This window comes from Homo sapiens, chromosome 6 (assembly GCF_000001405.40).
Source record: "Homo sapiens chromosome 6, GRCh38.p14 Primary Assembly".
In the NCBI taxonomy this organism is placed as follows: domain Eukaryota; kingdom Metazoa; phylum Chordata; class Mammalia; order Primates; family Hominidae; genus Homo; species Homo sapiens.
In genome coordinates this window covers 160,948,092-160,971,411 of record NC_000006.12, presented here as the reverse complement: position 1 = coordinate 160,971,411, position 23,320 = coordinate 160,948,092, and the positions used below count along the sequence as shown (strand labels likewise).

The 23,320-nt window shown below is 40.5% G+C and overlaps 1 long non-coding RNA gene across 13 annotated transcripts in view; it reads right to left on the bottom strand.

The window, feature by feature from the left end:
• The window catches only part of LOC102724087 (uncharacterized), a 55,176-nt gene that overhangs the window by 9,802 nt on the left and 22,054 nt on the right, over positions 1-23,320 (bottom strand). For 8 of the 13 annotated variants that reach the window (NR_187755.1, NR_187756.1, NR_187757.1 and 5 more), the window contains 2 exons: positions 12,348-12,443; positions 1,588-1,694 (listed from right to left, as the gene is read on the bottom strand). This is a non-coding gene — a long non-coding RNA (uncharacterized LOC102724087). Of the gene's footprint in view, positions 1-1,587; positions 1,695-12,347; positions 12,444-14,711; positions 14,846-23,320 lie in introns of all 13 variants that reach the window. The other 5 variants (NR_187764.1, NR_187761.1, NR_187765.1 and 2 more) reach the window with 2 other exon arrangements.

Here is a 23,320-nt window from a genome sequence, read left to right as displayed (position 1 = left end):
CCTACCTCCCTGTGTGTTTTGAGAACTAATAAGACACAGATGAAGCACCCTAAATTTAGGACAGCTGTTGTCAAAATGGTTTGTGCAGGTCAAGGTCACTGTTTTTAGAGAGGACCGCTATGTGTAGTGTGCTGCCTTCCAATGAGCATGGCCAAGGACTCAGTTTCATCTAATGGAACACCTTCAAACTGTCACAGGTAGCTAAGAGCTTAGTGGATGGAATGACTTCCAGGAAGAAAGATATTCACCTTCCACTGCTAGCCCAGACCAGTGGTTTACAATTCAGACTTGAAATTCTTTTAGCTTTAAACCTAAATCCACATTTAAGATCAATTAAGACCATTCATTCTGTCCAGCATTAGTACAGATGGAATCCTGCTGTACACTAGTACAATAATGTCCATGTATTTTAAATCACGACTAACTTCCTCGCTTTTCCTCAGAAAAATAACATAAACTACCATATTCTTTGCTCATTAGACCTATTTTCCAAAGCTACACCCACCTCTGCAACTCTCTTTTGAATGGCGATATGGTTTGGCTGTGTCGCCACCCAAATCTCACCTGGAATTGTAATAATCCCCATGTGTTAAGGGCAGAGCCAGGTGGAGATAATTGAATCATGGGGGCACTTTCCCCCATGTTGTTCTTGTGGTAACGAATAAGTCTCACGAGAGCTGATGGTTTTATAAATGAGAGTTCCCCTGCACAAGCTCTCTTGCCTGCTGCCATTTAATACGTGCCTTTGCTTTTCCTTTGCCTTCTGCCATGATTGTGAAGCTTCCCCAGTCATATGGAACTGTGAGTCTATTAAACCTCTTTCCTTTATAAATTACCCAGTCTTGGGTATGTCTTTACTAGCAGTGTGAGAACAGGCTAATACAAGTGACTTCTAAGCTTTCCCCATCTCCAGAGGTCTTGACTTCTAAACTAGATACAGGTTTTCTTGGCTCTACTTGCAATTCACAATTAGAGCAGGACTCATTTTTATATTTTTGGCTTGCAGTTAAACTTTAAAATGTATCTTCCTAAATTGCATGGTTTCTTTCTGTTGGTCTCAGTTGAGTATATAGGGCTGGGGACAAGCAGACCAGATTCATTTGCTGTCTTTTACACCTTTAACTCTTAGGAAAACTATTCTTTGAGACTTTTCTTTTCTTTTTTTCTTTTTTTTTTTTTTGGGGGGGACAGAGTCTGGCTCTGTCGCCCAGGCTGGAATGCAGTGGCACGATCTTGGCTCACTGCAAGCTCCACCTCCCGGGTTCACACCATTCTCCTGCCTCAGCCTCCCAACTAGCTGGGACTACAGGCGACCGCCACCACACCCGGCTAATTTTTTGTATTTTTAGTAGAGATGGGGTTTCACCGCATTAGCCAGGATGGTCTCGATCTCCTGACCTCGTGATCCACCCGCCTCGGCCTCCCAAAGTTCTGGGATTACAGGCGTGAGCCACCACGCCCAGCCTCTTTGAGACTTTTTTTATGGACTCCTTCAAAACAAGCTGTAACATATTTCTTCACAGTACTTGAGCTTTAAAAAAAAACTGGAGATGCTTTTTGCCCACATGGTTTTCTGACTCAGTTTACCTTGACACGGTGAAGCTCAGGCAAAAGCACAGGTGAGCCCCAGGGAGGCCCTCCGCAGACTCTTCCACTCTCACTTGATATTTCTCACACAATGTTCTTCTTGCAGACTGCAAATCACAACAAAATTCCAGGTGACAATGTATTCCCTAATTTCATAGATCTTTAAATATCTTGCTATTACTGAGCTGAGGGACATAGGGAAAGAGGAGGTATTCTACTGACCAACACCCACTTATTGAGCAGTAGATGGAACACCCACTTACTGCATCTTTGTCAATGCTGTGAATGATACCAAAGAGGTAGAAGAAGATATTTTTGTATCTTATGCCAGTTATGAAGGGTTTTGGTTTAATGTAAGAATAATCATACCACTTGTCTTAGTCTGTTTAGGCTGCTATCACAAAATACCATAAATTGGTGGCTTATAAACAACAGAAATGTCATTCTCACAGTTCTGGAGGCTGGGAAGTTCAAGACCAAGGCACTGGCATATTTGGTTTCTGGTGTGGGCTGCTTCCCAGTTCATAAGCAGTGCCTTCTTGCTGTGTCCTCACCTGGTAGAAGGGGTAAGGCAACTCTCTGAGCCTGTTTTTTTTTGAGATAGAGTCTTGCTCTGTCACCCAGGCAGAAGTTCAGTGGCGTGATCTCAGCTCACTGCAACCTCCACTTCCTGGGTTCAAGTGAGTCTCCTGCCTCAGCCTCCCAAGTAGCTAGGACTACAGGCATGTGCCACCATGCCCAGCTAATTTTTTTGTATTTTTAGTAGAGACAGGGTATCATCATTTTGGCCAGGCTGGTCTCGAACTTCTGACCTCAGGTGATGCACTCACCTCGGCCTCCCAAAGTTCTGGGATTACAGGTGTGAGCCACCGCGCCCAGTCTGGGCCTCCATTATAAGGGCACCAATGCCATTCAGCCAATCACCTTCCAAAAGTTCCACCTCCTCATACCATCACCTAGTGATAGTGATAAGGTTTTAACATATGAATTTGGGGGAAAACGTAAACATCCAGCTCATTGCACCACTTATGAGTTTTTAAATGACTGGTATATGTAAAGAAACTAGGACTGTGTCTGGCACATATGGAAGCATTCAATAAATGGTAGCTATTGTGATTATTAGTATTAATACTTCTCTCCCTGCCAAGATAGTTATCAAATTTTCTTTAAAATTGTAGGTGAAGATATTACCCATTTGAACATCCAAAGCCTTTTATAAATAATAGAAAGTATATAATAATAAACTAACATATAACATTCTATTTTATAAATATATTTTATTAATCATTATAGATATTTGTTATATATTAATATATTTCTACCATGCATTATACATTTTATTATATATTTATAATGTTTATAATATATAATTATATAATGATTTTATAATTATGATATTTTATATTAATATAAAAATATAAATAATATAAATTCTACTTAGAATACTGAGATTAAAAAGACAGTTTAATGTTGACTGAGATATAATGTGAGCCACAAATGGAAGCCACACATGAAATTTTTTATTTTCTATAGCCATACTAAAAGTCAGAAGAAATAAGTGAAAGTAATTTTAATAATACATTTTATTTAATCCAAATAACCAAGATACCACAATTTCCATGTGCAACCAATATAAAAGTTTATTAATGAGATACTTTATTTTTTCATAGTAGATCTTCAAGATTCAGGGTATTTTACTTTTACAGCATGTCATCATTCCTATGAGCCACGTTTCAAATGCTCAACAGCCAACAGTGGCCACCAGTTCCTGTACTGGGAGGTACAGCTCTAGTGAACTAATTATAACTGATAATCATGATGTAACCTGTTGTGTTTCTTTCTATTGCCATGGTTGCCCAGAAACCCAAAGCTAAATTTGGTGCTGTGTTACAGAATTTTCTCATCCTGAGTTCTTCTAAAATTTTATTTCTCTTCCTTCTAAATGGATTTGAATATTGTTATATGTTGTTTTAGAGAAGTAACTTAATAATATCCATAATGATAATTGACTTTTGTTAATAATAATGGTACTAATTTACCCATCATTCACTATGTGCCAGGCTCAGTGCCATGTGATTTACATGTATCACACAGCAAGACAATGGCAGACTAGGGCCATGGTCTTATTCTAAAGTCCTCGTTCTCAACCACTTAACTCTTAGAAGACTTACAGCCATGATCATGAACACCACTCTGTGCCAGGAGCATCACATACACTCCATCGTTTAGTCCTTGTTGGAAACCTGTGAGGCAGTTAGATATTATCCCCATTTTATAGGATGGGATCGAGGCCAAGAGGTTAGCTTCCTTAGTTAAGATACGGCTAATAAATATCAGAGTCAACATGTAAAGTCCAATACCTTCTCTATCCTCTCTGCTTCATTTATGTAGAATCAACCTCAAAGGACTGAGTTCCTTTTGGAGGTCAAAACACTGCAAAGTTATTCATTTAATAAGTACAGATTTTGAGTTCCTCTTATGAGCCAGCCACTGCTCCCACTGCTGGGGATACACAGATGGAAAAGATGGAAAAAGATTCAGGAGCTCGAATGAAAGAGAAGAAAAAATGCCACAGATATTAATTGGGAATTCTTTACTGGATTTTGCAAAGCAGGTGCTAAGCATATAATCACAAATAAACATATCTAGGTAAGACTAAATGAGTAAAATAAATCAGAAAAAAACAGTTCAAAGCACTTAGAACTCTGAGTGCACCTATGGGAAATGTCAACATACCCTGATTTCAGCCCTGCTCAGCCTAAGATTCCTGTATGCCCTCTCTAGTGTCTATGTGTGTTCCCAAGAGCTGTACAAAAGGCACAGTGCCGTGAGAGGAGACAGTGCCACGATGTCTGTCTCAGCACAAACTGAGACTCATTGCCATCAGTTAAAGTATTCTGGTGGCTTACAGAGTTCCTGGGATAAGAATATATAGGTGCTTCCTTTAACATCGTGCAGGACCTTATAGATACATTTCCTCAAGTTTGACACATTCGTGCTGTTAGCAAACACACGAGCAAAAGATACTCTTATTTGGTGCTGTCATTTTAGCTTCCTCTCAAACATCTGGACTTGACACAGACTTTGACAGCAACATATTAGAATCATTGCCATGTAAAATCATGCTTCCGCTGATACAGCATCTTTTAGCCCAGAATTTGAATGTGGTCGTAGGAAGAGAGCTTCCTATGATCACAAGGAGAAACAGGAAGGAAAGTACAGAAATTTTTAGATTCACTAAAAGTCATTGAACAGGAATCAGTGGGGTGTTTTTGGCAAGCCAACTCCTTATTTTCCATTTCAAGATCAGATCTAATCCTATAATAGTTTTAAGCCTAACCTTTAAATGACTGCTCGGCTGGTCACGGTGGCTCATGACTGTAATCATAACATTTGGGATGCTGAGGCAGGAGGATTGCTTGAGCCCAAGAGTTCAAGACCAGCCTGAGCAACATAGCAAGCTCTTATCCCTAAAAATTATTAAAAAAAAAAAAAAAAAAGAAAAGAAAAGAAAGAAAGAAAAAGAAAGCTGGGCATGGTGGTCTGAAAATAATTAAAAAAAAAACAAACTGGGCATGGTGGTCTGCACCTGTAGTCTCAGCTACTGGGGAGGCCAAAACGAGAGAATCACTTGAGCCCAGCAGGTCGAGGCTGCAGTGAATCATGATCATGCCACTGCACTTTAGCCTGAGCCACAGAGCAAGATCCTGTCTCAATCAATCAATCAACCAGTCAACGACATCTCATTTTTCATGCTGTAGTGTCCTTAATTATCCTTCCAAAACTAATAGTTTTGAAGGTGTTCCTTCCCATGAAACTTTGATGTGAGTGAATCACAGTTTTCCTGGAGGATTCTGTGATTCTAGTATGTGTATTTAAGGCAGTTTTCTGTCCCGACTATTTTGGCTTTGAGGAACAGAAGCATCCTCGAACCAACTCAGGAAAAACAGGGCTTTTCATAAGGACACAAGAGGAATGGAAGTGGAACCTGACAGAAGGCAGGTCAGGGGCTGATGCTTGGCCTCATGAAGGCTCGGCCCCTCCTTGCCATCCCTGCCTTCCCTTGTCTCTCCTGGTGAGCTTCCTCCACCTCATCACAGCCTTATGGTCTCACAGCGCATGGCCCAAACTCTCATTCCCGACAGACATCCTTTCAGCTGCTGCCCAGCATTTGCCAGCGCGCTCTCCTAACAGAGGTTACGGTTTTGGCCCAGCTTGACTTCCAACACGATATATCCCTGGCCAGCCTATGGATTTGTTTATCTCAGGCCAGATGCCTGTCCAGCTGGTTATGGCTTGGGGGGTTGGGGGAAGATGGAGATGATGGAGCACCACACCTGTCTGCCCAGCCAGTAGGGATCCTGAGTGGGTAGTTCCCTTAGAAGTGTTGTGTGGATGATGTTCAAAGGCTTGCTTTGCCCAGTGCAGACAGAAGTGAAATCACATGGTATGCTAATCGACTAAGAAACATCTAGGAATTAGGCATCATGTCTAAAGTAGAGAAGAATTTTTAAAAATGAAATGCAGATGGAAGGAAATTTACATGTAGGTACTTGATAGTAAGTACGGTGTAGGCATTTTACATGCATTATTTCACCTAAGCTTCCCAAATATGCTGCAAAATAAGTGCCATGACCCCATTTTCATTTATAGAATGGAGGCTTAGGGACACTACCTATGTCACCACGTGACTCAAAGTCACAGACCCAATAAATGGTGGAGCCAACATTTGAACCCATGCATACTTAACCCCAAAGTTATTTCCACTATAAAACATACAAGATAGAGGGCTATTAACAGCATTCGAATCTACCTGCTAAAAATTATAAACTACGAGTATTCCCCTATTCCCTTGCAGAACCCTGGTTATGAATGGGCCTTGCCCATAGTAACATGAAGGAGAAATAATTCAGAGGTGACTTGAAAGCACTATAAAATCATTAATAATAAATCACTGGACTATAACAATGTGAATACTTATTACTTGGAAAAGGATTAAGCCCTTAAAATAATTCATTTTAGTCTACCCCACGAGAAGGACTCAGTACAAACAACAGTCAATCTAATAAGTGACTGAACCAGTCTGCTATTGTAACTCCTCTTTAAATGTCTTTCAAGCTGAGCCTAAGAAAATAATAGTATTGACTTAATTGCACTTTGATTCAAAAGTGCTCTCACAAGCTTACGTCATTATAATGCAAATATCAGTTTAATTAACCATATTAATAAGACGCTGTGTTAAGCACTGCAAGAAATAAAATATTTTAAAAACTCAGACCTACTAATCCTTAAAGATCTCTGAACAAAATGAATCTAAAATGTAGCAAAATGCCCAGTGTTGATCTTCTTATGCACACTATAACAAGAACGTATACTGTTTCTTGGGTAGAGATGGATGAAGAAATACTATTCATCTTTTTTTTTATCCCATTAAAAACTGGCATTGTCAGATTGAAGCATTGTTTTTGGCTAAATAGCTTTGCAAGATTAAAAAAGCAAAAGCAGATACAAAATGATCTTTAAAATAAATATCAAAGCTTAAGCATAAGAATATATAACACTTTAGAACTGGCATCATGCCATGAATCATCACATATAGCTATCATCGTGTAATTCTACGTTTGCTGTTCCAAATGTCTTTGGCTTTCAGCTTTGAAATGACCAGAGCCTCTGGAGATTTTACAGCTATAGCAACTTCAAGCGTAAGAGTTCTTAGTTAAAAGCAACAAAAGCGAATTCTGGCATGTTTAAGTAAAAAGGGAATTTATCTTTTAAAATACTGGCACCAAAAGACACATACAAGAATGTTCACAGCGGCACTGTTCATAGGAGTCACACCTGGACCCGAGCCAAACATTTATCAATGGTAGAATGGATAAATGAATTGCGGTATGTATATTCCTCTAATGGAAAACAGCACCTCAATGAGAATGAACCAGCTACAATAACGCGAACCACCAGAAGGAAACTTCTCACCACAAAATACCGAGACAAAAAAGCCCAACACTGGAGAGTACATACTGTACTATTCCATCTCAAAACAGGCAAAACTAGATTATGAGACAGCCATCTTCTGAGACGTCACAAGAGTGATTACCTTTTGGGATCAGTGTGCACTGATACAGGGTGTGAAGGGGGTTTCTAGGGTCTTGTTTCTCGCTATGAGTCCTAATAAGGATCTGTTTGCTTGGTGAAAATTAGGCTATGTTTGTACAATTCGTGCAGCCTTTCATATGCATATTAAAATAAACAATTTGATATAAAGAATACTGCATGGCTTCAGCCTGGCCAGGAGGGCCAGAAAACCAGGTTCGGAACTTCATGGATAGGAACAAATGCCCACAGGCTGCTGCAGAATTGGTCCAGGGAGGACGCTGGTGCCCCGTTACAGGCCCATCCTGCTAGCCCACACTGCCACTAGCCTCATCGCAGCGCTGCCGCTGGGCAGGTGCCTCCCTCCTGTCTCCTTATTCTACACTTGGCACAGGTGTATCTGACAGTGGAGCGGAGGACACAGCCCTGGGCTGGGGGCTGGGATTTTCAACTTCTGTAGCAGGAAACCACAGTGAGACTCAGACGGTAGGAAGGAATGTCTAGGCAGGCAATGGATGGCAAATATGTCCTAACACCTCCGCACGGGACTCTGTTCTAGGGTAGATGCACATTCAGATGACTCCTGGAAATTTCTAACCTGGCTTCAGATATGTGGAACAATTCGAAAGGTGTTGTGGGGAACGTTTTGTCCCACATTAGGTCTAGAGACAGGTGGCTGGGTGTGAGTCAGAGGCAGCAGCTGTGGTGGTCTGGAAGCCAGTTGTTAAAAGGCACACTTGGTTGTAGAGAAAGTCATATTTGGCCCATTTGGATGGTTTGTTAGGACTATTTATTAATAGTTCTAGATTTCTAGAACTGCTGTGAACTCACAGTGCAGAGAGTTCCTGTAACCTCCACACACAGTTTACCCGGTTAATAACATCTCGATTATATGGTACATCTGTCACAATTAATGAGCCAACACTGGTACATTAAACTAAAGTGCACAGGGGTCCTCTCACAGATACCATATTATGTTTCATTATCATGTAGTCCTAGGTACCTCTTGACTCTAACAGTTTGTCAGGGTTTCCTTGTTTTTTGATGACAGTTTTAAGGAGTAGTGGTCAAGCGTTTTGTAGAAAGGACATCAACTGGGGTTTTTCTGATGTTTTTCTCATGGTTAGACTAAGGTTATGGGTTTTTGGAAGGAAGACCACAGAGGTGAAGTGCCCTTCTCATCACATCCTACCAAGGGCACGTATCACTGTTGGCATTCACCTTGACCACCTGCCTGACAGTGTTTGTAGGTTTCTCACTGTAAAGTTACTCTTTTCTCTCTTTGGTACACTTTGGAAGGAAATTACTATACAATGAGCAGCCTGCATTTGCAGAGTGGAGAGTTATGTCTCACTTCCTTGAGGCAGGGAGTATCTACCTAAATTATTCAGAATTCGTGAGCAGGTGAGCTTTAGGACCATTTTTTATTATCGTCTACCATGTGGAGAGTATTGTATCCCAAATAACCAGTCAATCTGATACAATTTCTTTTTTTTATAAATACAGTTTTTTTTAAAAGCATTCCAGTTATGTAGTTGATAGTTATTTTTAAAATAATTGATGAATTTAGAACAGACCAGAGTAGGCTGTTTTTCTGTGGTATTTTGAATCTATCAGGCCTTGTAATCCTAAACTCCAAACATAGCTATACAATGGTGTATTTGATGTTAAGGGAGGGGAAACATGTATTTAGCAACTACTGAAGAGGGGTTTAAATTATATCAACATTTTACACGTTTCAGACATGTTGATAGTTGGCTTTTATGAAAGTTTCTCAATTTGTAGAGTTTTAATTATGGCAACATGAACACAGTCTTTACCAGAATGAATACTACTAGAGAGAAATGAATGTACATGACTATGTTTTTTGATGGGGAAGGGGGAATAGGTTACTTTTTAAAGACTGATAGGTTTATAGTCTGTGTATCATCCCAGCTTCTTCTATTTGAAATCTGGGCTTATTGCTTTGCTACAAAAAAGTTTCTGTGCAGGGGTCACTGTCCATACAAAATACTTCACCATTTTTATATATTTTGAATTTATATGTAAAAGTTTACTAACATCTATTTCTGAACAAATTTCAGTTTTTGCACTTTCAACTGTTCATGTTCCTCTTCTTGAAGTATATGCAAAATGAGACACATCATACCATAAACATAGGGTATCTGGATTTTCTCTGCAATGTTCCTGAGTGATGAGAGCAGGCATTTTTAAACCTGGGGAGTGCAGCTCTGCAGACCCCATCCTCAGAGCTGGGGCAGACCAAGGGAGAGAGTCTTAGGGCCTGAGGATAGAAAGGGCCAGAGGTGAGGACTGGAGAAGCAAAAGTACAGTTGAGAGAGCAATAAAGATTCCAACCTCTGAGTCAAGAGTAATAGGAACTAAAAGGACGGTCAGGATAGTCAACAGAGCCAGGCTATAGTAAGCATCAAGCCACCAGCCAAGCCTCAAAGAATGAACGTGTGTTGGAACGTCCTTCCTCTTCTTTGGGGCATCCTACGAGCCCCCAACTTGATTGAGATGCCAGGGGAAACAGATGCCCTATCCTTGAGTTAAAATGGATTCTTTCAGTCCCAAACCTCTACCCACTGCAGTTAACTCTACTGATAACAGCAGGCAGGCACCCCCAGGGCACCACAAAATAAGCGTGACTTTGTGGAGTGTAATTGGCATCCTAGATGTGAGAGAATTCTTAGGAAAGATTGAAAAGAAGGTTAATAAAGTCTTTTGGCTGTTTTCCAGTCCTGACTTGTAAAATCAACACAGCTGAATTTTCAAACAAGAGCTCCCATTCTTTCGCACACTACCATCTCTGAGGACTAACCTTTGATATTTCAGGCTTGGCTGGAAATTAGTTAATTGCTAGGCCTACTCACATTACTTGGAACAAAAAAGTGTTTTGGAAATAATGTTAGAAAATACCTTTAGGGTAGTGCATAGAACTACTGGGTTTTAAAGATGCATTTAGTGTGCGTTTAATGAATGGCAGTTTGACATGAGCTGAACTTCACTGGTTTCAAGGGAGGCATAATGATAGTCTCGCTCTTTTGAAAAATAGACTCCTAGCATTCAGTCATGATAATGAAGGAAGTTAGAAGATAATGAGTAGATGAATGTGTATTTGGAAACTATTAGGTTGGTTAAACGGGAAATTTAAGCTTAAGCTTCAGTATACTTAGGTGTCCTAATAAAAGCTTGAATCTAGGCTAACTCTTAGAACAAACAGTGTCTCTGGGTCCCAACAAGGATTTAATATACATGTAATGACCAGCTGTCACACAGATTTTTAGCACTGCATTTATCATGGGTTTAAGATGCAAGTATTTCTGCTTAGCATTTTAAATAGGTTTGGAACATACATAAGGCACAGATAATTGGGTAATACAGAAGCCAACTTTATGCTGCCCTGTAAACACTCTCAAATGTCACCAGGGCAAATTTTCCTGGCAGAAACATCTGCGAAAAAGTCTGGCCCTTACAGACTCCTCTGGCCCCACCGTCACCATCTGCCTCTGTAGGAACAATGAAGCTCCCTGCTGGGGAGGGTGGCAAAGAAGGAAGGCTTTTTGTTCAAGGAATACAAGACTGATCAAGGCAAATTTTCCTATCTAAAAATAGTACAAGGAGTTGGAGAAGAGGTCTTAAAATGTCCCTTCTTCTTCCTCATTCTAAATCAGCAGAGACTTCAAGATTTTCACAATCACAGTCAGTTTGGCGACATTGTTTTTCTAGGTTGTCTACTTTTTCACACTCCAGTGATTCACCAATACCCAATGGGAAAACATGTAGCAGCAGTGAGCACTGAGAAGTTGAAGCACAGAAATGGTGTGTAATGGTATGACTTGAGCAGATTATAACAGAAAGCAGTTAGAATAGCTGAATGAATTGCTTTTTGGTAATGGCTCTAGGATACGGGTTCTCGTGTCGGTTAGAATCACAGTCCCGGTCAATGGAAACTACTGGTGTACAATTCATTTGGCAAACTGAGAAGCCACTAGTCAGGCCTTGTGCTAGCTGGATAGGAAGGTGTAGTGGAAGGGGCTATCAAGGAGAAGAAGATAAAAGCTCTGCCTTCAAGAACATAAGACCAAAAGCTAATGAAATGGAAAAATAAGTAGAATACACATTTCTGTTTTAATCACAAGACATTTTGGGTATTAATAAATGACAAAGCATCCAGAAAGGGGTCGCCAGGATGGCAAGGAGATGAGAAACTGCATCATAGAAAGAATGAACAATCAAAAGAATAGGGGTTTGTATTCCTGAAAATCAGAATACTACCAAGGACTCAGGGTTTGTGTGTGCATGGCAATAGGTATATGTGGGGAAAGGCAATATCATTGCTATTCTGGAATATTTGAAAACACGTATGGAAAAGGCTTACTCTGTGTTCTCGGGGCCAACAAGACAGCAAATGGCAGGAAGCAGAAGAGTGATGCTCCCAAACCATTCCATTGGCTTCTCTGCCTTCCCCAGGCCCCTGCAATTAGGTAGCGCCATGTGACTAGCTCTGGCCCATGAGCTACAGGTAGAAATAAGGGGTTTCACTTCCAGACAAGGTGTAGAAGAGATGGGAGCTGTTGATGACTGCAGTATAGCCTGTGATATGCTGACTGATTCCCAAACAAAACCCCACATTATTAGAACTGTTCAAATAGGTCACTTACTGTTTATGTTGCCTTGCTCTGGAAGTGTTCAGTGAGAGGCTGAATTTGGAACACGTCATAGAAATTCCTGGCCTACGTGAGTAAATTTGGTTACTTCTAGGGAAAAAAAGACAGTTTAGGGTGTTACCTTTAGCTATACATAGAAATAAATAACTTTTAAAACAGTTAAAAGAAATCTTGAGTTATAGTTTATAAACATGTAGATGTACATTACTTTCAGATGGCAAAGAATTTTCTAAAATTTAAAGAAAAGAAAAATATTGATAAATGTGACTACATAAGATGTTAAAACTTTATAGATTATATAATGCCATTATGAAATCAACGCAAATAAGTGGGGGCAATATTTACCCCAAATATGGCATAACATCAATACCCTTGTGATGTAAATGGCTTTGCCAGATAACTAAGAAGAATACAAGACTCCAACAGATAAATTGATAAAAGACATAAACAAAAGCCATATCTTTGTAATCCATAATAAACTCATGAAAAAAGGCAAACATCATTGATAAACTATCTCTACTCTACTATCAAAAAAATTGAAAAATGACTGATGATACACAGTGTTGGGGGAGCCACAGTAGACAAGCATTCCTTTTTCACAATGTGGGTAGCAGCAAAAATTAGTATAGTCTTTCTGGGGGAAAATTTCTAATATATTTTCATTTTTGACCATGTAACTCCAGGCCTAGGAGCTTATATGGAAGAATCAAATGATGCATACAATGATTTGAATATAAGCATTACTTTTGATACTAAAAATTAATACAAACACCCAACAATAAGAGGATAGCAAATAAGTAATAGCACTCCAATGGAATGAAAGACTACAGGGTCATTAAAAGCCATGTTTGGGAATTATATTTAGTGACGTGGAAAATGCTTCACCAAGTGATGCCAAATTAAGAAATAAATATATATGCATATATATATATATATATATATATATATATATATATAGTGTGTGTATAAACACATAAGGTATGATTCTAATTAATAAAAAAACCCAAAAGTATTAAAAGACTGTTGTTTCTATTGTGTTTTAAAATTCTCTATGCACTTCTGATTTTTCAAATTTTCAATAAAAATATTGCTTTAATAATCAGAAATAAACATTTCAACACAATTGATGATAGCAGAGCCAACAGAGAGTGGTAAGAAGGCATCCCTCCTTCATTTTGGGTAGGTGTGTATATTCATACAAACTTTCTCAAAAGCAATTTAGTGATATGTAGCAGGTGCTCTAAATGTTTGCACCCTTGACTCCCTTTGATTTCCATCACTTCTAGCTAGCTATCCAAAACAACTAACTTCCAGTGAGAGCTTGGAAGTGATTATCAATACTATATATAAGAGTAAACATTTGGGAACCTAGATCCAGCGGAAGAGGAATAATCAAATAAATTATTGGATATCATGATGTAGGACACGAAGGCCAGTCACTAAAAATAATGTGTGCATAGTGCTTTCAATGACCTAGGGATATATTATGTTTATAAAAGAAGGTTCCACATGCCCAAAATATATATGCATAACATGGTCTCAAATATATAAGAAAAAATGCATAAAAATGCCTCTGGAGGATGGGATTATGAGCAATTTTTCTGTTTCTATACATTTCTATAAATAAAATTTTTTAAAGTTATAGCCTAAAAATAAAAATCCAAGCTCCCCCTTGGATTTTTTATTCTTGAAAATATTTCTCTTTCCAATATAGAAAACAATTTATTTCTCTTGCCAATATAAAAAATAATATTAAAGTCTGAAGCTTTAATTTTTACCAATAAAACCTGAGACTTTAATCTCGTGTTTTTGTTTTTGTTTTTGTTTTTTTATATTGGGAAGAGAAAGAATGGGTGGTTCGCTCACCAAAGCTACCTCCACATTGCTAGAAGGATGGTTACATCTTGGACCTCAGGTGCTTCACTTATCAGCACCATGTGACAGACAGAGGTCACCCCACCCCCTACCTTCTTCCCTGGCCTCCCGGACACCATCCCTCCCCAGCTCTCTTCCTGCCATGGGTCACACCTTGTCAGCTTCCAGTGCCGGTTCCTTCCCTCCCCTAACCAGCAAATGCTGGAGTCCTACCGCATTGCAACCTCTGGCTGCTGCCTTATTTACACCACTTTCAAGATGATTTCTTCTACTTTCATGGGTTTAAGCAACCCCTACACTCTAAACACTGATGAATCCCGATATCAGATGAGGCCCTGGGCTCCTACCAGCATCTTACCAGCATGCCTGTGAGGCATCTCCCCTTGTATATCTAATAAACTTCACATGCCCCAAGCTTAATTCCTGCTTTCGCCTACACCCCTTGAAGAAACAATCAAACAAAACGCCAAAAACCTGCTCCACCTGCAATCTCTCTTTTCGGTTCATGGCAACCTCATTCTTCCAGTTGCTCCAGCCAAAAACTTGGAGTTTGTCATTAAAACCTCTGTTTCTCTGAATGCCATGTCCAATCTTTCAGCAAAATCTTCCAGTTCTACCTGCAAGATATAGCCAGAATTGAACCACTTCTCAACACCCCATGGCCACAGGCCTGGTCTCAGCTGCCAACACCTCCCGGCTGCACCTGTTGCAAGCTGCTCTGCCTGGTTCCCTTTGGCTCCCTCCTGTCTGGGTGGCCTCAGCCAGATGATTCTGATAACAGGTAGGTCAGATTTTGTCACTCCCCTTCTGAAAACCCTTAGTGCTTTCCGTCTGATTTCACTTACAGTAAAAACCCAACCTTATGATGGCCTAGAGAGGCAGGCAAGCCCTGATCCTCTGCGTGCTCTCTGAGCACCTCTCCCGACTCTCTCCCACCTACCCACCGAGCTCCAGCCTCTTTGGCCTCCCTGTTGTGCTTCAGGCATCCAGGTGTGGTCCTGCCTCAGGGCCCTTGCCCTTGCCACATCGGCACTGCAACACTCTTCAGTCTCCTCCCAAATGTCATCTTCTCAGCAAGGCTTTACTTGATTTCTCTCCGTCAAATGCCAATCCCCAGCACCTCTGCAGCCCGTCACTCTGTGGACCTGGCCTGTTGCATATTTACTTGTATTTGCTTCTTGTCCCTTTCCCCTCCCCTAAAACGTATGTCCCATGAGAACAGAGACATTACTTTCTTCTCAGTGCCTAGAACAGCGCCTGGCAGAAAACAGGGAGTCAAATATTTGTTGCAGAAATGGGCACTCACTTGAAGTCCAGGACACCCTGTGGCCACAGGCAAGTCGTTTGGAGCCTGTTGCTGAGAGTATCTGTAGCTGCCTTATCTATGTCACAGGACTACTGTGGGACAATGATACAAGGAAAAGACTCGAAAACATCAAAACCCACAGATGCAAAATGCAAGCCGCACCAAGTCTACAGAAGGAAGCAGTTGCTTTATCCTGGGCCAGGGGAGAGGATCTGGTCCTTGACTCACTGTTCCTCCCTAACTGCAGGATGGTGCATAGCTTTGATGTCCTCACTACGCAGTCTTTAAAAGAGCTCCTCAGGGTGTGGCGGGCAAAGAGCTCTGGGTAGGAAACAGGAGTTTTTTGTTTGGTTGCTTGTTTGTTTGCTCTCTAGATGTCTTAAGTTGTTGGGACTGCTGAGGACAGATCCAGAGAATGTCATAAAGCTTATTTAGGGAGTAGTCATCGAGGTGGGCCAGGCACTTCATGTACATTATCTCTAATCCTCACAACAATAGCAGCTATCATTACGCATATTTTACCGAGTCAAAACCTGAGAGTGGTCAAATGCTCTGACCAAGCCCTAAGTCGGGGCTTTCTTGCTACTATCTCTTATGCCTACCCAGGTTTAGGAAATTCTTGGACCAGCATAAAGAAAAAGAAAGAAAGAATGTTCTCTCTAGTTACTTATTTTGAGATCGGTCCTTGCTTTGTCACCCAGGCTGGAGTGCAGTGGTGCAATCACGGCTCTCTGCAACCTCCGCCTCCCAGGCTCGAGTGATCCTCCCACCTTGGCCTCCTGAGTAGCTGGGCCCACAGGCACACACCGTCATGCCCGGCTAATTTTGCCATGTTGCCTAGGCTGGTCTTGAACTCCTGAGCTCAGGCCCACCTCCCACCTCAGCCTCCCAAAGTGCTGGGATTAGAGGTGTGAGCCACCGTGCCTGGCTTACAAAATCTACTTTTCCAAATACACACATTAATGGACTTTACCCTTCTTGTAGTTTAAAACTACACAGAAAATTAAAATTTGCTTCTGTTTAGATTACACATGAAAAACACCCAATGAACTCATTCACTTGTTCATTTAATAAATGTTTGGATTTCTTTTCTGTACTAGCACCAGGCTAGGCACTGCAGACATAGCAGCCACCCAAATAGGAAACAATTCTGTCTTCATTTAGTTTACATTCTAGTGATGAGGACACTAAACATAAGTAAGCAAATACGTGGTAGTGTATTAGAAGGAGGTAAGCCCCAAAAAGAGAGAAGGGAAAGAGGAGGAGAAGGGGGTGAGCGGGGACTGCAGTTTTACACAGAGTGGTCACAGCAGGCCTCCTGGGAAGGTGAAAGTTGAGGGAAGTCTTGAAAGAGATGAGGGGAATGGCCATGTGGGTATGTAGGGAAGGAATTCCAGGTGGAGGGAGCAGCCAGTGCCTGTGTGTTTATTTTTATTTTACTTTAAGTTCCGGGATACATGTGCAAAATGTACAGGTTTGTTACATAGGTAAACATGTGCCATGGTGGTTTGCTGTACCCATCAACCTGTCACGTAGGTATCAAGCCCTGCATGCATTAGCTATTTCTCCTGGTGCTCTCCCTCCTCTCGACCCCCACTGACAGGCCCCAGTGTGTGTTGTTCCCCTCCCTGTATCCATGTGTTCTCACTGTTCAGCTCCCACTTATGAGTGAGAACATTCGGTGTTTGGTTTTCTGTTCCTGTGTTAGTGTGCTGAGGATGATGGTTTCCAGCTTCATCCATGTTCCTGCAAAGGACATGATCTCAATTCCTTTTTAGGGCTGCATAGTATTCTATGGTGTATATGTACCACATTTTCTTTATCCAGTCTATCATTGATGGGCATTTGAGTTGGTTCCATGTCTTTGCTATCGTGAAGAGTGCTGCAGTAAACATACGTGTGCATATATCTTTACAATACAATGATTTATAACCCTTTGGGTATATACCCAGTAATGGGATTGCTGGGTCAAAAAGGTGAGTGCAATTGTAGGAACTCTGGATTCCACTCTGAAGAAAATGGAGGGCTGTTGGAGTGTTCTGAATAGAGGAGTTAAGTTTTAAAATGTATTTATGTTTTAAAGGGATCACTAAGGATGCTGTACTAAAAGCAAGGGTGGAATTAAGGGGCTGGTGAGGAGACCCTAATGGTCATCAAAGTGAAGAAGTAGCCATGACTTGGGTCAGGGTCAGGGTCAGAGGAAGTAGTTATTCTGATGTAATAATGCATAGGATTAGCACACAGGCAAGTTAAGAGACTGCCCTATAAAATACACTTTTCACTTTAAAACAAAGAGCAAAACAAACTCCTTTAACCGTCTCACCTAGAAGGATTTGATTCACAGAAATGTAATCTGTACACATTATTTCATAACACATTTTCCATGCAAGCAAGGTATACCCATAGTTTTCTTAAGAAAGTAATTATCAAAAAAATGTAAAACAAGAGTTTCTCGTTTGTTTGAAACCTAGCAAGAATATTGCATACTTTCTTTTCTACTTACATTTTTGACACTGAAATGTACCTAGGAAATCACAATAAAAGGAACTATGGAAAAAACATGTCAAAGGTTCCTGCCAGAGTTAAATACATGCACCCATGAGGAAAGGAACTACTGACTGTGGAATGTCTTGAGAGCTCAAGGAATCTGCCTTCAAAGTTTCTTTGGACAAAGACGCCTCTGAGCTCACATTCTTTTCTCTGGGGGTATAAATGATGCTTTGCAAAAAGGGGAAACCATTTAGAAGCAGAATCAATGCGAGGCTTTTTAGGGATGGACAGGCACTGGCAACAAAAGAGAGCTTGCAGCACACACTGAGCGGCTTTGGGGAGAATGCAGGCACTCATGGAGCACACGATGGATGCTGACGTCTTCTTTGGACCCACTTCTTACCTTGTTCAACCACTGGGGTCATAAGACAATGGGGAGCCACACAGAAAACAGCAAATGCCACTCTTGAATGGATTTATTTATTAATTTTTTTTTGACCTTCTTGCTCATTTCCCGTGCTGGAGTTTCACTCTTGTTGCTGGAGTGCAATGGCGCAATCTTGGCTCACACTGCAACATCCAGAATCAAGCATTCTCCTGCTTCAGCCTCTTGAATAGCTGGGATTACAGGTGCCCGCCATTATGCCCGGCTAATTTTTTGTAATTTTAGCAGAGATGGGGTTTCACCACGTTGGCCAGGCTGGTCTGGAACTCCTGACCTCAGGTGATCCACCCGCCTCAGCCTCCCAAAGTGCTGGGATTACAGGCGTGAGCCACCGTGCCCGACCTTGAATAGATTTATTTTTTATTTAGTGAGCCTGTATACATCCAAAACATTGGGAAACAGTTTAATGGCAATGATACTCAGAGTCTGGGCTTTCTGTTTTTCTAAGTTTTTGGTTTTCTGGGTTTTTTTTGACTCCATAAAGTGCCTAATGTTTTCTTAGTCTCCTCTGTGCTGCTATAACAGAATACCCAAGACTGGGTAATTTATAAAGAGCAGAAATTTCTTTCTTTTTGTTTTTTGAGATGGAGTCTCTTTATTAAACAACTCCAACAAGGCTGTCATAAAAATATTGCAAAAAACTAACTGAAAATATATGGCTGATTCTTAATTATGATCTGAAATGGAACACAGTCCTTTAATACATATTTATTAATGTCTACCGTGTGCCAGGCAGTCTGCTGACTCTGGGAATGAACAATGAAGAAAGCAAACACAATTCATGTTGTCAGTTAGCTTATAGTCTAGTGAGGAAGACAGACAATGAAGTAATTAAAATGAAGTGCTACAATGTTCTTGTGGGGACGGTATGGCGCATTATGGGAGCAAGACAAAGATGTAAATTGTGTGTGTGTGTGTGTGTGTGTGTGTGTGTGTGTGCTGGGAGGTGGAGGGGAAGCCTCTCCCATCATCTGCCCTCAAAATGGACCCTGTTCCCTGCTCCTGTCTCTCCAGCCGTCAGTTCTTCTGAGCTCGAGTGGTTCGAGTCACTCTTGGCTGCTCTTGCTCCTTCACCCTTCATATCTCATCACTCAACAAGTTCTGCTGATCTGAAGGTTGTCACTTCTGGAGGCCATCTCCCCTTCCACTCCTAACACCATCTAGTTCATCATTCACCTTGACTACTAGAAGAGTCTCCCAGCTCTTCTCCAGGGTCCAGTCCTGCTCTCTTCAGTTCTGTCCTCTACACATTGATCTACCTAAAATGCACCTCTGACCACATGACTCCCCTGCTTTAAAACTTTTGATGGGCTTCCTATGGGCTAAAGATGAAGTCCAAGTTGATTAAAGTCCCAAAGCCTCCATGCACCAGCCCCGCCGACCTTTCCAACTCCCCCGCTTGCTCCTCCTTATCTCTCACTCCGTGTGCCAACAGGGCCAAACTACTGATAGGTCCTCAGGCGCATCACGCTCTTTAGTGCATTTGCTGTTGTGTCCCATGGGCCTGTCCCCACTGCCAGTACCACCCGCTTCCCACACGTGTCTTCCCCCTGCTTGGTTGGCCACGTGCTGGTGCTCATCCCCTTTGACTCAATTCAGGCGTCTTTGCTTAGGAAACCTTCCTTGCCTGCCCCACCCAGACCAATCTTCTCTGTGTTCTCAGAAAACCCTGTGCACACACTAACATTTGCATATTCTAAACCCTATTTTAATCATTTCTCTATGGCTCAGTTTCCCTCCTTAGCTTTTTTTTTTTTTTTCCTTCTTAGTTTGTGACCTACTGGAGGACAGGGATTACCTCCTTCACCTTTGCATGCCTCACCCCTGACATGGTCCTGATACAGAATAGGAGGTCAGGACACATTTGTTTAATGAAAGAATGGCTGTTGCAGATATTACATGTGGTTAATTCTCATCCCAAATCAGTGTGATATTAGTATACGAGCAAGTAAAATAATGGGGCTTTGGTTTCCCAAAAGGGGACTCCCAAAAAGGAATCATTGTTTTAAGCTTCCTGACAGTTGCTGATTTCAACGAGGTAGGTAATAATACATACATTTGTTTATATTTAAAAAACACAATGGTTCCCAAGGTTTCATTACAAAGGAACTATAAAATCAATATATACTCTGTTGAATCATTTTAAGTGCTAAAATATAGCACAACACCAGGCCCGAGTCATCATTTAACTTGTTTCTAGAGGAGCTGGAGGTAAACAAACTGGTAGGAGACTGGCACCAGGGCTGGTTCCGTGAATGACACACTGCCTGCTCATGTCATCATTCAAAATAGCAGATTACCAAAACAACACGCATTAACTTCAGATATCCCAGGCATTTGCTCCTTTCTCGTAAGTAGGTTTGCCTATCTTTAAAAGCAGTTCTTTTTGCAAACACTCTAGGGAAATTTAAAGAGGTCTCTGGAAGGAGAGAAATCCCAGGAAGTGTTTGGCCAGCAAGCAGAGGCCAGCCAGATTTTAAATGATTGCCAAAGAAAGCAAACTACCTACACAAAATCTACAAAGTTTGTAAATGAAAATTGACTGCACTCCTCTAACCTTGAACTTCACTTTACAAATTTGAACTTCAAATTACAAACTATACAATCACTATGAAGAAGTTCGTAAAGTCTTTTTTTTTTTTTGAGAGGGGAAAGGAAAAGAAGCATTTTATCATGAAAAGTACCGTAGATACCACTTCTCTTAATATAGCACACATGCTTAGTTTTAGCACAGTGACTATTTGGAGGATTTTTACACTGTACTTCAGTCGTGTTTATTTATAATATGGGTGTGGGGTAAAATATCAAACCACAATGCATTATATACATCCATGTGAACCTTTCCTCTCTGCCCAGAGCTATTTCTGCCGTCCTTCTTAAGCCTAAATTTAAAAAGTGATCTTGTCAAACTGTGATGAATTGTTACCTGAATGGCAAAGAACTTGCTAACTGGAGGTGGCTTCAGTCTTCTTTGAGTATTCTTTTATGTAACAAATTGAATATACTCTTTGTACTTCTGTACCCTCGAAGAAAGGGGAAGGTTTAGCAAAACAGTTGGATTATTCCCAAGAAAGCTTGAATGCATTTTTAAAAACATTTTTTACATGAAATATTGCTCTTAACCTAAAAAAATGAAACAGTATAGTTTGGCACAGCACTCATCTAAAAATAGGTCTTTGGTGAATAAGCTTTCTGCCCATAACACTGAGGCTGTGTGTTGCACTTGTGTGCACATGCCCAGAGTTGCCTGCGTGTTGTACCATGTAGTTGGAAAATAGTAACTTCAGCTAAAAAAAAAAAAAAAAAAAAAAAAGATTTAGAAAGAGGCCTTTGGTGAAATTCCTTAACAAAAACTAAAACTTAAATGTTTGTTGAAATGCTTTCAAGAAATTGTACACTTAGGAAATTATGGTTTTGTTTCATAAATGTGAAACCTCAAAATATATGAGATATAATCTAGAAAAATGAGTCTGGCCTTTTATATCTAAAGTAAAAAAATTTAAAAACGTTTTGCAAAACCTAAATATGTGACTTCTTTTAAAGACTGATTATCTTGTGCTATGCTGGCTCTAACTGGATTTCTAGATCTTCCCTGGCTGTTTTGTTTCTATCTACCTAGGGTTTTACTCTGTAGTGGGATGGTCCTTTTGCTTTGACGAAATTGCGGGGCGGAGAGGAAAGGAACTCAGGCAAATATATGTTGTAGTAGTGGTATGAGGTGTGTGAAGATATATTTTCAGTATAATTTTAGCTATAATGGACTTATATGTTAATTACTTTTCTAGATCATAAAATTATGAAAAGAAATCCTTTATGTAATTTTATTAGTATTTTTCTTTCAAAGGAAATATGAAAATAAACTAAGAGGCAAAAAAATGATTAACAGAGGGCTATGGATATGCCATTATAGGTTTAACAATAGTGTAAGTTGAAACTCTACTCATGTGCCTCACAAAAAAAGCAGACTGTGATTATCTGTAAATGTGCCTTTCCACTTTAATTAGTCCCGTATCTGTGAGTCTACATTCTTCTTGAAATTAAGATACCATTGAATAATAATGTAACTGGCCATAAGACCTCATCAAAAGCAACTGTAAAAGTATCTTCTAGATTTCACTAATTATATTCCCAATCTAGCAAACATACAAATTTGTACTTCTTTGCTCCACAGCTACTAAGCAATAGCTGTTGAAATCATTAAGGTACAAATTGAGGACAGGTGGCACACAGTGGCTCCTGCCTGTAAACCCAGCACTTTGAGAGGCCCAGGCTGGCAGATTGCTTGAGCTCAGGAGTTCGAGACCAGCCTGGGCAACATGGCGAAACCCCATCTTTACAAAAAATACAAAAAATTAGCTGGGCATGGAGGTGTGCACCTGTGGTCCCAGCTACTCGGGAGGCTGAGGTAGGAGGATTGCTCGAGCCTAAGAGGTGGAGGCTGCAGTGAGCCATGATAGCACCATAGCACTCCAGCCAGGGTGACAGCACAAGACCCTGTCTCAAAAAAACCCCAAACCAAAACCAAAACAAAACAAAACCTGAGGATATTCTGAGTTTTTATGATGTCTAGATTCCTAACAACAAATAAGGCATAGGAAACTCTGAGGTAGTTTCCACATGTGATACTGAGTTCTCTCTCTTTTTGGCTAGAAAAAAGTTTTGGTGATGCAAGGGGAAAGGGTTTCATTAAAAATGTGAATGAAAAATAAAAATATCCTGTTGCTTGATCTATATCATTCATTTCCTAGAAATGCTGGTAAATATTTTTATCTTTCTTCTGGGCATTGGCACATTGACACAGTTATAAGTAATCTTTGATCTGCAGATGCATAAAAGATAACATAGTTTGAA